At 47.2% G+C, this 16,044-nt stretch overlaps 1 long non-coding RNA gene across 1 annotated transcript, besides 1 other annotated feature; it reads right to left on the bottom strand.

The window, feature by feature from the left end:
* Window positions 1–243: 243 nt before the first annotated feature.
* Window positions 244–11,475, bottom strand: LOC105370685 (uncharacterized). The gene is made up of 3 exons (XR_944245.2): window positions 11,304–11,475; window positions 4,916–5,116; window positions 244–1,017 (listed from the first exon to the last, which is right to left on the bottom strand). It is a non-coding gene; the product is annotated as an uncharacterized LOC105370685 (long non-coding RNA).
* Window positions 10,219–10,725: an enhancer, noted in NCBI's record as "H3K4me1 hESC enhancer chr14:103631281-103631787 (GRCh37/hg19 assembly coordinates)". NCBI's record gives its function as "activates a minimal SCP1, AML or CMV promoter by ChIP-STARR-seq in primed H9 embryonic stem cells {active_cell/tissue: H9 hESC(primed)}" and the evidence as "EXISTENCE:reporter gene assay evidence [ECO:0000049][PMID:30033119]".
* Window positions 11,476–16,044: the final 4,569 nt, after the last annotated feature.

Here is a 16,044-nt window from a genome sequence, read left to right as displayed (position 1 = left end):
CGGCAGCATCTGGGAGAAGTACCCATGACGCCCAAAGCCCCAGAAGGAATGTTATAGTCAGTGCTCTTTCAGTGCTGCCATCCACAGATGGCTTAAGTGTTAACAGCTCAGTGGGCCCTCTGCCTTTTCTCATGAGGTGGCTGCTTTCCACCAGTGAGGGCAGAGGGTCAGTGTGACAGCCTTTTGCATCTGCTCCCATGGTACCTCAGCTCTTGTTTGGCGTCCGGGTAACACAAATTGAAGGGTGGTGAATGCAGGGGATTTTATTGTTGATGAAAGTGGCACTCAGTGGGAAGGGGAGCTGGAAAGGGGATGGAGCAGGAAGGTGATCTTCCCCTGGAGCAATGCCATCAAGCCGTCTCTGTGAAGTCAAGCTGCTTCTCTCCAACATCCAACTGTACTCTCTGATGTCCAGATGCTTCTCCTCTTCTCTGCTGTCTGCCAGTGGAACCTGGGTTTTTTATGGGCATAGGATGAGGTGTGGGGGCGGGCCATGGGTGGTTTTGGAAAAGGCAACATTTGAGCGGGAAAACAGGAATGCATGTTCTCACTTTGGGCTGTGGTTCCAGGCTTCAGGTTCGGGCCTTCACTGGGCACCTGCCCTCTTCTGCCCAGAATTTCCTTGCCTCCTGTCCCTATCACTCCCTGCCTCAGAAGAGGCACATCTAACTGCTGTTGGAATATGAACGATGACTGATCATAGCTACTTCTTGCTGACAGGGGGCATTGTTTTGGGGAGATTGGTTTTCTCCTTCATCTCTGAGATGTTTATTTGTGACATTGCTTATATCTGGCTCTTCCCAGAGTCCTCTCTTCCTGCTGTAGCTCATAATAGATCTTCAGATGTTTGGTGGGCACCCACACAGGCACCTGATTGTCACCTGGATAAACACAAACAAATCCTCTTCCCCATGTAATTATCCACCCTTTGATTAAGTTTAGTTAAAGGTCCAGGGAGGTTAGTATGTGCTCTCATATGAGTGATATAGAAAGGGGAATGCCTTGTTGTACTGCTTGCTGTAAAGAAGGAAATAAAAGATTAAGTTGGTCATTAGTCACATTTTGAATTAAGGCACATTCAATATTTTGCATGGCTTGCACTACATAGGCTGAATCAGAAACAATGTTTACTGGTTGTTTAAAAGTTTTTAACGCTGTTATCACAGTCATAAGTTCAGCCCTTTGAGCAGAAGCAAAGTCAGTTTGAAAAACTTGCTGTTGAGGTCCTGCAAATGAGGTTTTTCTATTACTAGATCCATCAGTGAAAACAGTAATGGCCCCTTCAATAGGGGCTTTTTGAGTAATGGAGGGCAATATCCATGATATTAACTTAAGAAATTGGAATATTTTGGATTTAGGATAATGATTATCCAAGAACACCAGTAAAACCTGCCAAATTAACTTGCCATTCCTGGGAATTAATATAAGCCTGCTGAATTTGTTGTTTGTTTAATGGAACCATAATTTGATTTAGATTATATCCCATTAACTTTGTTGTGCACAGCCTTGCTTGTTCTACTAGTACAGCAATTTGATCTAAGTACAGAGTGAGCGTTTTGGCTGTATTGTGAGGTAGAAAAAGCCACTCAACCAGATCATTCTGTTGAACAATAACTCCTGTAGGTGAATGTTTAGTAGGAAAAACTAAAAACTGTAATGGCTGCATAGGGTTAATTCGAGTCACTTGGGCTTGTTGAAATTTTTTTCAATTAATTGAAGTTTCTCTAATGCTTCTTTGGATAGAGAGCATTTGCTATTAAGGTTAGAATCACCTCATAAGGTAGAAAAGAGGTGAGACATAGCATAAGTAGGAATGCCTAAAGTGAGACGAATCCAATTTATGTCTCCTAATAATTTTTGAAAATCATTTAGAGTTTTTAAAGTATCTCTTCTAATTTGAACTTTTTGAGGCTTAATAGTACTTTGTTCTACTTTCATTCCTAAATACTGAAAGGGAGTAGAAGTTTGGATTTTATCGGGGGCTATGATTAATCCCGCTGCAGTTACAGCCTTTTCCAATTGTTTGCAGCATAGCATTAATTCTTCTCTAGTTTCAGCTGCACATAAAATATCATCCATGTAATGGATAATATAGCATTTTTTGAATTGTTCTCTAACTGGCTTAATAGCTTTTCTGACATAAGTTTGACAAATAGTCAGGCTATTTAACATGCATTGTGGCAGTATTTTCCAATGGTATCTGTCCGCTGGTTCTTTGTTATTTTTAGTGGGAACAGTAAAAGCAAATTTTTCATAATCTTGAGTTGCTAAAGGAATGGTAAAAAAGCAATCTTTTAAATCTATTACTATGAGAGGCCAGTATTTTGGGATCATTGTTGGAGAGGGCAGCCCTGGTTGCAGTGCGCCCATGGGTTGAATCACAGCATTAACAGCCCTCAAGTCTGTTAACATTCTCCGTTTCCCTGATTTTTTCTTAATAACAAACACAGGAGAATTCCAAGGAGAGAAAGTAGGCTCTATGTGTCCCTTTTGCAATTGTTCCTGTACCAATTTTTTTAAAGCCTCCAGTTTTTCCTGTTTCAGCAGCCATTGCTCCACCCAAACCGGTTTGGCAGTTAATCAAATAAGAGGAATGGGAGCCGGAGGCTCAGCAATGACCACTCCTAAAAATGATAGCCTAATCCAGTTCGATCTGTTTGCCCTTTTAGTTCTGAAGGTTCTGTTTGGCCACTTTCATTTTTTCCAGTCCCTTTCCTGGGAGATATCCCATTTTTCTCATCATTTGTTTACTGTTATTACTATACTGATCCATAGAAATAGATATTTCAGCACCCCATTGTTGTAATAAGTCTCTACACCATAGATTGACAGGAATAGGTGTAATAATAGGTTGAATTGTCCCTTCTTGGCCATCTGGCCCTTAGCGTGGCAAAATTAAAGAACTCTGAAAAATTTCTGAGGCAGCCTTTACTCTATAAACAATACCAATGGATGCCTTTTGTTTTGGCCAATGCCAGGGCCATTGATTTAAACCCATAATAGAAACATCAGCTCCAATATCTACTAGCCCCTCAAAATCTTTACCTTGAATAGTTACTGTACAAATAGGTCTTTTGTCAGACACTTGATTAACCCAATATACAGCTTTTCCTGCTGGATTTGTACTACCAAAGCCTCCTATTCTTTTTACTGTGCTGCTTCCCAGTTTTGCATAAGGTAGCAGTAACAACTGAGCAATTCTTTCTCCTGGGGAAGCAGACTATGGAATTGAGGAACTAATAACTAATTAAATCTCTCTAGTATAATCAGAATCAATTATTCCTGTATGTACAGTGATGCCTCTTAAATTTAAGCTAGACCTTCCAAGCAACAGACCAACTGTTCCTGAGGGTAAAGGGCCCCTAACTCCCATGGGGACCTTCTTTGATAGCTCCCCAGGAAGTAAGGAAATGGGAATTGTGCTGCAGAGATCTATGGCAGCACTGCCTGCTGTGGCAGGGGACAATTGCTGTACGTTTGTAAGGACACTGACTGTGCTGGATATGCCTCAGTTTGTTGAGGGGCCCGAGGTGGGCCCCTCTTCCCATTTCCTGAAAGAGGTTGCCCATCTTTGCTAACTTTAGAATGACACTGATTTGCCCAGTGATTGCCCTTCTTACGTCAAGGACAGATACCAGGACTTTTTTGTTGCTTACTGGTAGTAGCCCTTGCCTGTTGATTTCCTTTTTTTACATTCCTTTTTTTGTGTGTCCAAATTGCCCACAATTAAACAAGAGCCTGAGAAACAAGGCATATTTTTCCCCACCTTTAATTCAGCCATAGCTTGAGCTAAAAGAGTAGCCTTATGTAAGTTACCTCCAATGCCATGGCAAGCCTTAATATATTCAGCCAAATGAGACTTCCCTCTCATAGGTCTAATGAAAGAAGGATATTTTTTCCCTGTAACATTTATTTTTTTCCATGCCCGTAAGCACACAGTGCGTAACTGAACAATGGCGACATTTTTCATTACTGCTTGATTGTCTAATTGGCCCCAATTAGGGCCCAACCCCATTAACTGTTCAAAGGAAACAGGCACAGGCAACTGTGCTTGTGTGTTTTCTCTTGCCTGAGTTTGAGCTTCATCAGCCCACCAAGTTTTAAACTGCAAGTACTGAGATGGAGTGAGAACAGATTTTGTTAAAGTATCCCAGTCATATGGTATTAATCTATTATCAAGAGCCACATTTTTTAGTAAAGTTTGTACAAAAGGAGAATTTGGCTCATATTGACTAATGGCTTGCTTAAATTCCTTTAACATCTTAAAAGGAAAAGTGGCCCAATTAGCAATGTTCTGTCCTCCTTGCTGAATTATAGTAACTGGAAATTGCCATGCTTCTAGCTCTCCTTCAGCTCCAGCCTTCTGAAAAGAATTTTGTATAGCACCAGCAATTGTTCCCCATATTTAATGTTGCCACTACAGAAGCAGTACGTTTTACAGCTAATTCATCTTCTCGCCCATTAAGGAAAGAGGGAGGAGGTGGCCATTCACTTAATTCAGCAGGTGGAACCGACAGGCTAGTAAAATATACCCTTTCCAGCGTCCCTTTCTTTTCTTTAATTTTCTCCGGTTGCTGTTCCTCATATTCAGAGTCTGAAGTTAATTTTTTACACTCATCTACCTCTTTCTCATCTGAATCTGCCTCATCATCTGTTTGAAATGGTTCAAGAGCTGCCTTTATCAACGCCCACACTGACCAAACAGAAACTGGAATTTTGGCTCCTTCTTTATGCGCCTTTTAAAAATCTCTGCCAATTCTTTCCCATTCATCTAATTCCATTGTCCCTTGTTCTGGGAACTATGGATAAAACTGCTCTACTGTATTAAACAGTGTTAATAAATTCTGAGTACTAACTTTCACTCCCCCTCTCCGTAATAAATGCCTTAAGAAATTTAAATAAACAGAATATTTACTTTCATTCTGTCCTGTTGTTACCCTGTTTCTTCCGAGTGCTCAGCTTTCCCACCGAGCTTCTTTCAGTCATCCTCGGGTGTCCTCTGACAATGCGTCCTCCAGTTCCGCATGCTCTAGTGTTCCTTCACTGGGGTCTTCATAGCCCCACGTTGGGTGCCAGAAATGTTGGGGTGATCAGACCAAACACCAGGCCATGGGGGCTACAAAGTCCAGTGGAGTCAAAGGAATGAGAAAAGACAAGTTAAGAGTGCATAAGGTGGGTCCAGGGGGCCAACGCTGGTATTCAGGCTGCGAATGCCCTGAGCTCTCGGAGCCCACACTATTTATCGGTGATCAAACAAAAAAGCAGGTGGTGAGGATGTGCAGATGTGGGGGTAAACAGGTGAGGACGTTGGGGTAGAAAGGTAGGGGTGCATCAAATACAGCTCTGATGGTTTAGCATTTTCTTTGACGCATATACAGTATGCTTTGCTGCTTGAGATAATGGAGAACATGTTTTCACGCCTGGGAGAGCAAGCAACAAGTCTGTGCACATTCCGGAGGCTACAAGGGGTTTTATGCCCTGAGCCCTGGATTCCATCCAAGCCATGGGCTTAGATTTGTGGTGCGGCAAGGCAGCCTTCCACACTTTGGCACAGAGCTTGGTGTTCCAAAGGCCACGAGGGGTTTTAGACCCTGGACCCTGGACATCTTCCAAAACTCTTTTATATTATGACGGACAAGCCAGTCCTGCCTCAGCTCTTCTACCAACACTGTGGCCATCCTGAGGGCTGAAGGATATATCCTGGAGAGGTGACCCGATTTATTTCTGTAGGAGAATATTGAGGTTTTATTTCTCTTATGGGGCCCTCCCAGATCAGTAGGGCTTCAAGTGTATCAGAAATCAGAGGCCCTCTCAGTGCTGATTTAGCTGCTTGGTCCACCAACCTATTTCCCTCGCCTACTTCATCCATCCCTTTTTGGTGGCCTTTACACTGTATTACTGCCACTTCCTGTGGAAGGAAAACTGAGGATAATAGTCTATTAATTCCCTGATGGTATTTAATGGGAGACCCATTAGCTGTGAGGAAGTTCCTCTCTTTCCAGGTAGCGGCATGGGCATGGGGGACTAGGAAAGTGTACTTAGAATCAGTATAAATGTTAACTGCTTTCCCTTTGCTTAAATCTAGTGCCCTCATCAGGGTGATTAGCTCAGCTAGTTGAGCACTTGTGCCCAAGGAAAGAGACGCATTCTCAACAATATCATTCAGAGTAACTGTTGCATACTCTGGTTTATGGATCCCTTGCTCTACAAAAGAACTTCCATCCATAAAGAGTGAGGGTTCTCTAAGGGGGTTTCCTTGAGGTACTCCCTGGCTGCATAGATTTGTACTACTATCTGTTCACAGTCATGTTCAAGCTCCCCAGCTTCCTCTGGGAGGAAGGTGGCTGGATTTAGGAAGAGACAGTTTCTTAATTTGACTGCAGATCCTTCTAATAACAGACCTTGATACCTGAGGAAGCAGTAGTCTGTTAGCCAGAGACTCCCCTTAGAAGACAGCAGTCCTTCCACATTATGTGGGGTATAAACAGTTACGTTATTCCCAATGGTTAACTTAGTAGCTTCTAGTACCAGCAAGGCTACTGCCGCAACTGCCCAGAGGCAGGCTAGCCATCCTTTGGCTATCAAATCAAGTTCCTTACTTAGGTAGTCTACAGGCTGCTGGGCTGGACTGTGGGCCTCTGTTAGAACTCCCAGGGCCATTCCCTTTCTTTCTGACACATAAAGATTAAACATCTTCCCTATGGGGAAACTAAAAGCCAGTGCCTTAAGCAGGGCTTGCTTTAGTTGGTCAAAGGCCTTTCTAGCCTCTGGTTCCCAAATTAGACAGTGAGTTTTTTCTGCCTGAGTCTCCTTTATTAGGTGATATAAGGGACGAGCTATTTCACTGTACCCAGTTATGCACTATACCCAGCTATTTCATTGTACCCAGTTACGAATCCTGTAATGCCTAAGAATTCCCTTAGTTCCTTGAGGGTTTGGGGGAGGGGAAAGAAGGAGATGGATTTAATCCTCTCTTCACCCAATGCTCTGGTCCCCTCTGATAAGACCAGGCCTAGGTACTTCATTGAAGTCTGACAGAGCTGAGATTTAGATTTTGAAACCTTATATCTTCTGTTAGCCAGAAAATTAAGAAGAGCCTTTCTGCCCTCCTGAGAGACTGCCTCAGTTGGAGCACAGAGGAGAATGTCACCTATGTATTGTAAAACTTTAACCTGAGGATAAAGGAACTTGGAGAGGTCTCTTGACAATGCCTGCCCAAACAAGTGGGCAGAACCGCTGAGGTAACACTGTCCAAGTCAACTGAGTGGTTTAGTTAGAGGGCTCCTCAAATGCAAACAAATACTGAAAGGGTGTACAATATGCAGAAGAAGGCATTCTTTAGGTCCAGGACAGTAAACCATTTAGTTCCTTCAGGTATTTGACCTAGCAGGGTATATGGATTGGGAACCACCAGGTGAATTGGAACCACAGGCTTATTAACGAGGTGGAGGTCTTGAATTAGTCTCCATTCCTCGTTGGGTTTTTGTACCCCCAATATTGGGGTATGACAAGGGCTGTTGCAGAGTTTGAGGAGGCCCTGCAACCTTAAGTTATCAATGATGGCTTCTAGTCCTTTTCTAACTTCTGGTTTCAGGGAATATTATTTCTGGTTAAAAAAGGAGAACTTAAGGTGGACCCAGACCAGTATGGCAGTTGTGGCTTGGCCAAGTTTCTTTCTTTCTTTCTTTTCTTTTTTTTTTTTTGACAAAGTCTCACTCTGTCACCCAGGCTGGAGTGCAGTGGCATGATCTTGGCTCACTGCAACCTCCGCCTCCTGAGTTCAAGCGATTTTCCTGTCTCAGCCTCCCGAGTAACTGGGATTACAGGTGTGCACCACCATACCCAGCTAATTTTTGTATTTTTAGTAGAGACAGGGTTTCGCCATGTTGGCCAGGCTGGCCTCAAACTCCTGACCTCAGGTGATCCGTCTGCCTCGGCTTCCTAAAGTGCTGGGGTTACAGGTGTCAGCCACGGCACCCAGCCAACTTGGCCCATTTTCCCTTGAATTGCCCAAACTTCTGGGTTAATATTGGTCTCCACAAGGAGGAGATAAAGAGTTTGTCCTGGGGCCATCAGGATGGTGGTCCCCATATGGGCCAGAATATCCCTGCCCAACAGAGGAGTTGGGTTTTCAGGCATAATTAGAAAAGTATGTGTGAACAAGAGGTCTCCTCAACTACAACTAAGGGGTTGGGAGAACTATTGGGTTAAAGGTCTTCCTGAGATGCCTCTCACGGTTGTGCTAACAGAGGAAAGGGACCCAGATTGGAGAGGAGAACCGAGAGACCAGCCCTGGTGTCCAGAATGCGGTCCACTTTCCTTCCTTCGATTTCCGGGATTACCCAGGGCTCCTGAATGCTAATGGTGGTCTAGACCACCAGAGCCAGGGAGAGGAGCCCCAGGATCTGTCAGTCTGGCTGGACCATTTGGGAGATTGGCTCTGGACTCAGAGACCAGCATTCTCAGGGACAATCCACTTTCCAGTGGTCCCCATTGCAGATTGGACAGGGACGAAGTGGCTTCCTCATGCTGCCAGGGCAATTCGTTCTAAAATCCCCTGGCTTGCCACGTCTGTAGCAGTTAACAGCTGAACCTCAGGAATTCTGGGGTTTGTGGACCTGCATGGTGGCCATTAAAGCCTCTGCCTCTTTCCTGCGCGTCCTCTCTCTCTCTCCTGAGCCTCCCTGTCTCTATTATAAATGACTGAAGTGGCCACTTTCAGGAGGTTCTCTAAAGTACTATCTGATCCCAGGGCCTGTTTCTGCAGGGACTGCCTGAGTAATAAATTTATTCTTTAGGATTAGTTTCCTTTGACTGAATCAGGAGATAGAGAGGTGTGCTTTACCAAGGGCTCCCTTAGCCTTTCCAGGAAGGCAGTGGGATTCTCATCAAATCCCTGTTCAATCATGGATAGCTTGGTGTAATTGAGAGGCCTAGTGCTAGTCCTATGTAAGCCCTCCATTATGCACTCCTGAAAGTGTCTCCTCTTCCATTCTCCCATGTCATCATGGGGATCCCATTTAGGGTCATCCAATGCTACTGCTTCTCTTCCAGTTGGATAAAGTTTGACCCCTTCCCTGACACTATATGTGATACAAAGTTCATCCCCAAATCCCTCCCCTCTGCCACTTGCAGAGCCTCCTGCTTCTCAGCTGTTACTCAGGGTTTGATTGAAAACTAACATAACATCTTTCCAGGAGAGTTCAAATACTTGGGTTAAATTCTGGAAAGCCTTTATATATATCTGTCAGGGTCATCTGAAAACTTGCCAAGATCTCCCTTGATTTGCTTTAAGTCCTGTAGAGAGAAGGGGACCTGGACCTCATGGGGGCCAAATTCACCAAGCATCTGTTGGAGGGGCAAGTGTGACACTGGGGCTTGCCCAGGGTGAGGATTTCTAGGAGGGGGCAAGTGAGAGAGAGAAGCTGAAGAGGGAGGACCGGGTGGATCGGGAGGAGCAGGGCTGGTGGGAGCTGGCTCCCCTGCTGGAGGTGCCTCCGGGGCTCATTTCTATAGTTCCCTGGGATTGCCCCTTGCAGCCTCTCCTGAGATGGCAAAGAGGAGGGATGGATCAATCCTACACTGTCGGCAAAGGTCTGGATTACCCTGCAAGGTAAAGAAAGCCTGCACATATGGGGCATCAGACCATTTGCCCTCATGTTTACGGAAAAAGTTCCAACTTCAGGATGGTATCAAAATGAATGGTTCCTTCCTGAGGCCAAGCCAGACCTTCCTGCAGATCATGATTTGGCCAAGCCTTTGTACAGAGGACTATGAGGTGTTTTTCCTCCAGAATCTGAGGGTCAAAGCAGTCCCAGTGATTCAGTATACACTCCAGAGGAGTATAGACTGGGGGTGGTGAAGATAGCTGGTTCTGAAAGACAGGGAAAGACAGGGAAATAGGCATTCCTCATTTCCCTTCCTTCTTTCGGCAAAAACTTGGGGTGTGAGGGAGAGAGAAAGCAAGCATCCCCCTTTTCTCTTCTGTTTTTTGATCCCTGAGACCCATCGACCTTTAGACAGATACCACCCACAGGTGCCACTATGGCCCGCACCTGTGAAGCAGGGGGTGCCTACACAACAGGACTTGTCTGCACTCACCCACATCTCCACCCCCCACTACTGTCGGCAGCCCTCAGGTTCCCTGGGCCTTATCTATGCCATGGAGCATGGCCTCCTTCCATGAAGCATGGGCTGAGCCAGCAGGAATCTGTCCTGACCATTTACACTGTGCCCGTTGCCTCGCTTTGGATCCCTCAGATCTGGTTTTTCTTTCTAGGGCTTCAGCCCAAAACTTGGAATCGAGTTTGGAACAAAAAGGTGTCTGAGGGGGTGCATGGGTCCCTTTAGATGGACTCCCCGATGGGCCCTGCCAAACTTGCAGTTATTAGCCGGTGGGGGTGGCTCCTTGGTTGTTTCCCCATCATAAGCGGAGTGCTGAGGCAGGAAAATAACCCTCTTGCATAGAAAAGGAAAGAAAAAAACAGCTGTGGGAGGAACCTCTTGCTCTCTGCAAACGGGTTCCTTTAATCATTGTATCCCTTCCACGGTTTGGACCGAGATGAACTCCCTGGCCAGGGGAGGAAAGACTCTATGGGCACATGGCAGGGGGGGCGGCGAGTGGCAAACACTGGCCAGCAGGCTGCACGGGGTCCCTGCCCTCAAGACTGCCCTGGGGCCCTGGCAGCAGCCATGGTTCTCTCTCACTGCCCATGGCTGGTGGCATGGCATGTGCATGCCGCAGACATGCCCAAGCACCCCAGCCAGGAAGGGAGGGGGGTGAGGAGGGGGCCACCATGTGCCACACGTGCCTGTGGCTTTTGGGCTGGGGATGGGGACGGCACCTCTAAGGACAAGTGGAAATCACACTGTCCTGAATTGCATATCTGACTGCTGGGCCAAATGCTCTAGCAATATTTCTGCAGTTTGCAGCAAAACCCTTAACATTATGACAGAAGAGATAGGAGCTATTTCAAACCATGAAAGAAGAAAGGAAAGATACCATGGAAAATTCTGGGGGTCTTGGCCAGCCCCCTGATGGGCAGTCAGGAACTGGGTACAGTCTTGGGGCCTTCTGGCAACACCGAGGTATGGCCTCGACCAGATGCCTTCAGTGGCCCCAGGACTTTATTCCAGTCCCAGGCAATGGCTAGATCTCCATGAAGGGAACAGAGCCAACATTCCTTTTACGTAAAAGAAAGAGAGAGATGGCAGGGTTGCATCCTCTCCCCTGCAAGTGGCATAGCTCAGAGCAAAGTCTGAGGACAAGAAGAGACAGATCTGGCAGATTCGCATTTACTCACCCTGCTGACGTATCCCAAATGAGGCCCCATAAATGAGCAGGAAATTTCCCCTGACCCCTTCACAGGCGGGAACTGGAGTGTGGGCACTGGAGCTAGCTGGCCACTTTGGCGCCGGCAGGGACAAACTCCACTCATTCGAACCCATTGTGCTCAACCCCTCGTGGGAGGGAGCATGCAGGTGAGCAGGTGCAGGAGCCGGGGTGAGTGCTTTTGGGTGCCAGCAGGAGCAAAACCCCATGGGAGCCCCGTGGCAGCATCTGTGGGGGGAACCCATGACCCCCAAAGTCCCTGAAGGAGTGTTACAGTCAATGCTCTTTCAGCTCTGCCATCCGTAGATGGTTTAAGTGTTAACAGCTCAGTGGACCCTCTGCCTTTTCGCATGAGGCGGCTGCTTTCCACCAGTGAGGGCAGAGGGTCAGTGTGACAGCCTTTTGCATGTGCACTCGTGGTATCTGAGCTCTTGTTCAGAATCTAGGAAAAATCAGGTCACACAAACAAATGGAAGGGTGGTGAACATGGAGGATTTTATTGCCAGTGAAAGTGGGTCTCAGCAGGAAGGAGAACTGGCAAGGGGATGGAGCTGGAAGGTGATTTTCCCCAAGTCTAGCCATCTCCAGCTGGACTCCTCTCCAAAGCAACACCATCAAGCTGCCCCTCTGAAGTCAAGCTGCCTCCCTCTGATGTCCAACCATAGTCTCCAATGTCCAGCTGCTTCTCCTCTTCTCTGCTCTTTGCTGGTGGAGCCAGTGAAGCCTGGGGTTTTTATGGGTGCAGGATGGGGGTGGGGGTGGGCCATGGGTGGTTTTGGAAAAAGCAACATTTGAGTGGGAAAACAGGAATGCATGTTCTTACTTTGGGCTATAATTCCAGGCTTGAGGGTGAGGCCCTCACTGGGGACTCACCCTCTTCTGCCCAGAATTTCCCCGCCTCCTGTCCCTATCATGATTATGTTCAAGTACAAGGTGGGGCTTCTGTCCAAACACCAAGGACGGAAGCCAGGACAAAGAGGGGCCAGAGACAACAGAAACACACCCACCGGGCCACAGAATTAGTCTCCATTCTGCTGGACTGGACTCTGTGCCCCGGTACTTCTATTCTGTATCCCGAGTCTCACTTCAGATCTTTCTTGCAGTTCATGTGTCCAAAATTCACTGTGTCCAAAATTATGTTCTACGTGTCCAGAAGTATTTGATTTCAGTGATGATACTTTTTTGTTTTTAAAAGTCTTATTTAGTTATTTCCCATCTTTCTAGTATTTTAATAGAATTTAAACATGACAAATGAAACATAGTATTTTGTCCTTTAAATATTAACTTTGTGTATCTATCAAGTCATCCTGTAGTTGGAAATTTCAGACGTCCCCAGTCCATTTTTTTGTCTAAAGGCAGTCACTCAGGTGTCTGTGCCCTCTCCGATCTATAACATGGCTCATGGGTTCCCCTTCACTGGAGCTGTGCCCAAGGGCATCCTGGCAGCCTGTCTACACTGAAGATACATTGCTCCATAGACTTCACCCTTTGTGTGAAGCTCCTGGGGAACTTCTTACTGCTTTAAAATGTAGGAGATTTTTGGTTGTTTGTTTTAGAAAACAAACAAATTGAAAAGATAGCTTGTTATACTGATAGAAGCAGTAGACAGCCAAATGCCTAGGCCGATAAGGAAAGGTCCTCAGAGACCCTCCGACCCGTCCAGGTCACTGTGCACAGGGGGCTCACCTAAACATGCCCTCAGTGAAAAATTCCATCCCTTCACACATGCGCAGTAAGGGAAATAAATCAATGTGGTGTGGCTCAGACTAACGGCTCACATGCGCACTGGAAGAAAGGGATGGAGCCTTCAGGAATCCATGCCCTATGCTGGGAAGGAGACTGGCCTCTTCAGCTTGTGCATGGTGGCCTGGTATTCAATCTGTGAGGTAGGAGCTGGCTGGTGGGACCCCTCTCTCTGCTGAAAGTTCCCCTTTTGCTTAATAAATTCCACTCTCTTCACCCTTCAATATGTCCATGTGCCTAATTTTTCCTGGTCGTGAGACAAGAACCTGGATTTAGCTGAACTAAGGAGCAAAATATCCTACATCAATACTATTGAAAAGATAGTTTGTTATACTCACAGGTACCAAGAGCAGGGGCCATGCCACAGAGGGGCCACACAGGGAAGTACCAGGATCTGTCAGGAGGCAGAGAGGGCAGAAAAACATGGGCAAGAGCCTTTATCAGGGTTTCTGCAGGAAGGAACACGTGAGGCAGGATGAATGGTTTAAGACTGCCACGCATGAATAAAATAATTTCACGGGCTCTGGCACATAGGGACTGCCCCTAGATGTCTGGTACCTGGTTCTAGGGTGCTCAGGACAGGTGGAGACGGGCCCAGAGTGTTAGAGCCAGTAGAGGAGGTGGCTGGGTAGGAGCTCTGGTTTGGTGGCTGCCGTATGGTGGCGTGCGTGTAGGCTGGTCCTTTACTCTCTAGGAACGGGCTAATCAAGACCCCAGATGTAAAGCATCATGTGCAGAAGCTAGAAACAGGGTCATCTCGGCTACCCACACCTCCCTGTCAGAGTCTTAGCTTGCAGTTCCTAAAACTGCACATGGGGTGAGTTTGAGCTGCATGCTGACATGAAGACTGGCCTTGGCTTCCAAGTTACAGAGACTTTTCTCTTTCCAGAGATCAAACCAAGACAAGCTTCATCCTTGACACTTTTTGAAAGAAAAAGGAATTTTTCCCTCTTAATCCACCAGTTCCACTGTGAGTAGAGCCCTTCACAATTACGGGCTTCATTCAGGGGTGTCAGTGCTAACCTTTCACAGAACAAGGCCTGGTTCCCCATCCTAATATGGCCGTTGAAATGGAAGTGTCTTGGTTACCTGGCCTAGCAAATCTCCCCAGGGCCACTGTAGCATCTGTGTCAGCTTAGTGCCTGCTTTGCAGCTCCTTTTCATTTTTGGCCAATAGAGTTTTCCCTTGATTAGGCTCTCAGCCATGAATGAAAGGACGTTTGGTATTTCCTCCAAAATTTCCTAGCATGCACTGCGGGAGGTTTTGTAGGGAACCAAACCCATCTCACTTTTGGACAGGACAGTGGCATTTGTTTTGCAATAACTGCTTCTACCCTGTGTTCAGAGTGGCAGACAGAGGACTCCGAGGGTGGACGTCACAGTGGCTGTGACCCTGGCTGTCTGGCTTTCCTCTCTGCAATGCCAGCAGATTCTATGGCTCACTTTCCACAGGTCCTGAGCCTGAGAAACCTCAGGAATGCAGGTAGAGCCATTACCCTCTGTAAGAATGACACAGCCCAGCTAGGATGGGGTCATTGCAGGGACAGCCTCCTCCCCAGGGAGCTGGGAGCACAGGTTTCAGTGCTGGAGAACTCACGGGTCAGAGTCTTTGCCTCCACTGGAACTGGAGAAGTGAGCAGGAATGCAGGCAGGAGGCTGTCAGGGTGCAGGCAGGAGGCTATTGAGGTGCAGGCTGTGGGGGGTGCAGGCAGGAGGCTGTGGGGGGGTGCAGGCAGGAAGCTGTGGGGGGGTGCAGGCAGGAGGCTGTGGGGGGGTGCAGGCAGGAAGCTGTGGGGGGGTGCAGGCAGGAAGCTGTGGGGGGGTGCAGGCAGGAGGCTGTTGGGGTGCAGGCTGTGGGGGGTGCAGGCAGGAGGCTGTCGGGAGTGCAGGCAGAAGGTTGTAGGGGTGCAGGCAGGAGGCTGTTGAGGTGCAGGCTGTCGGGGTGCAGGCTGTGGGGATGCAGGCTGTGGGGTCCTGTCTCATGGCCCAGTCAGTGACTCGTCCTCCTGGGTCTCTGGGCTTCGCGCCTGATTGATCATCGGAATCACTGCAGGCAGGGACGGGGTGTTGAAAACTCGGGTCTTTATTCAACATCCCCATTATTCTGATTTGCTGGGGCTGGGGCTAGGGCTGCGCCAGCATCTGGGCCCTGGAGGAGACCCCTTGGGGGTTTCTGCAGCACAACCCAGCACTGGGATCCCCTGCTCCTGTGGGGAGAACACGGCGGATTTTCAGTGGCCAGGAGGGAACGCAAAAGTGGATGGACTCTTGCTCTAAATTGTCATTTCGGCTCTCCCAGACTCCTGGCAGCCAAGGAGAAGGAAGAGATCCTGACTTCGTGTTGAGTGAGGCTTTGTAACTGTCCCGACATGCACACACCTCATATCATGTGCCAGGTGGGGGAATTCAGCGGCAGAGAACTCTTGCATTTCTCTCCTTAAATGCCTGTTCTTCGCAGACCTGTGAAAACTTAGAAATAGTTAAAAACAGGCCGGGCGCAGTGGCTCACACCTGTAATCCCAGCCCTTTGGGAGGCCAAGGCGGGTAGATCACTTGAGGTCTTGAATTCAAGACCAGCCCAGCCAGCATGAAAAAACCCTGTCTCTACTAAAAATTCAAAAATTAGCCAAGCTTGGTGGTGGGTGCCTGTAATCCCAGCTACTCGGGAGGCTGACGCAGGAGAATCTCTTAAACCCGGGAGGTGGAGGTTGCAGGGAGCTGAGATCGTGCCACTGCACTCCAGCCTGGGCGACAGAGCAAGACTCTGTCTAAAAAAGAAAAAAAAGAAAGAAAGAAATAGTTAAAAACAAAACGGTTCACTGTCTTATCTTCCTGTTGCAACAGAAGTCACTGGTAATCTCTGACAGTTCAGTTAAACAGACTCAATTCAGATTTTAAGACAGTCTCTCACAGTTTTAAACCACATAAGATGTCAACGAAAAGAGTCAAACTCGGTGAAAGATTCGAAG

The sequence above is a fragment of the Homo sapiens genome, chromosome 14 (assembly GCF_000001405.40).
Source record: "Homo sapiens chromosome 14, GRCh38.p14 Primary Assembly".
In the NCBI taxonomy this organism is placed as follows: Eukaryota; Metazoa; Chordata; class Mammalia; order Primates; family Hominidae; genus Homo; species Homo sapiens.
This window is presented reverse-complemented; position numbering and strand designations above follow the sequence as displayed.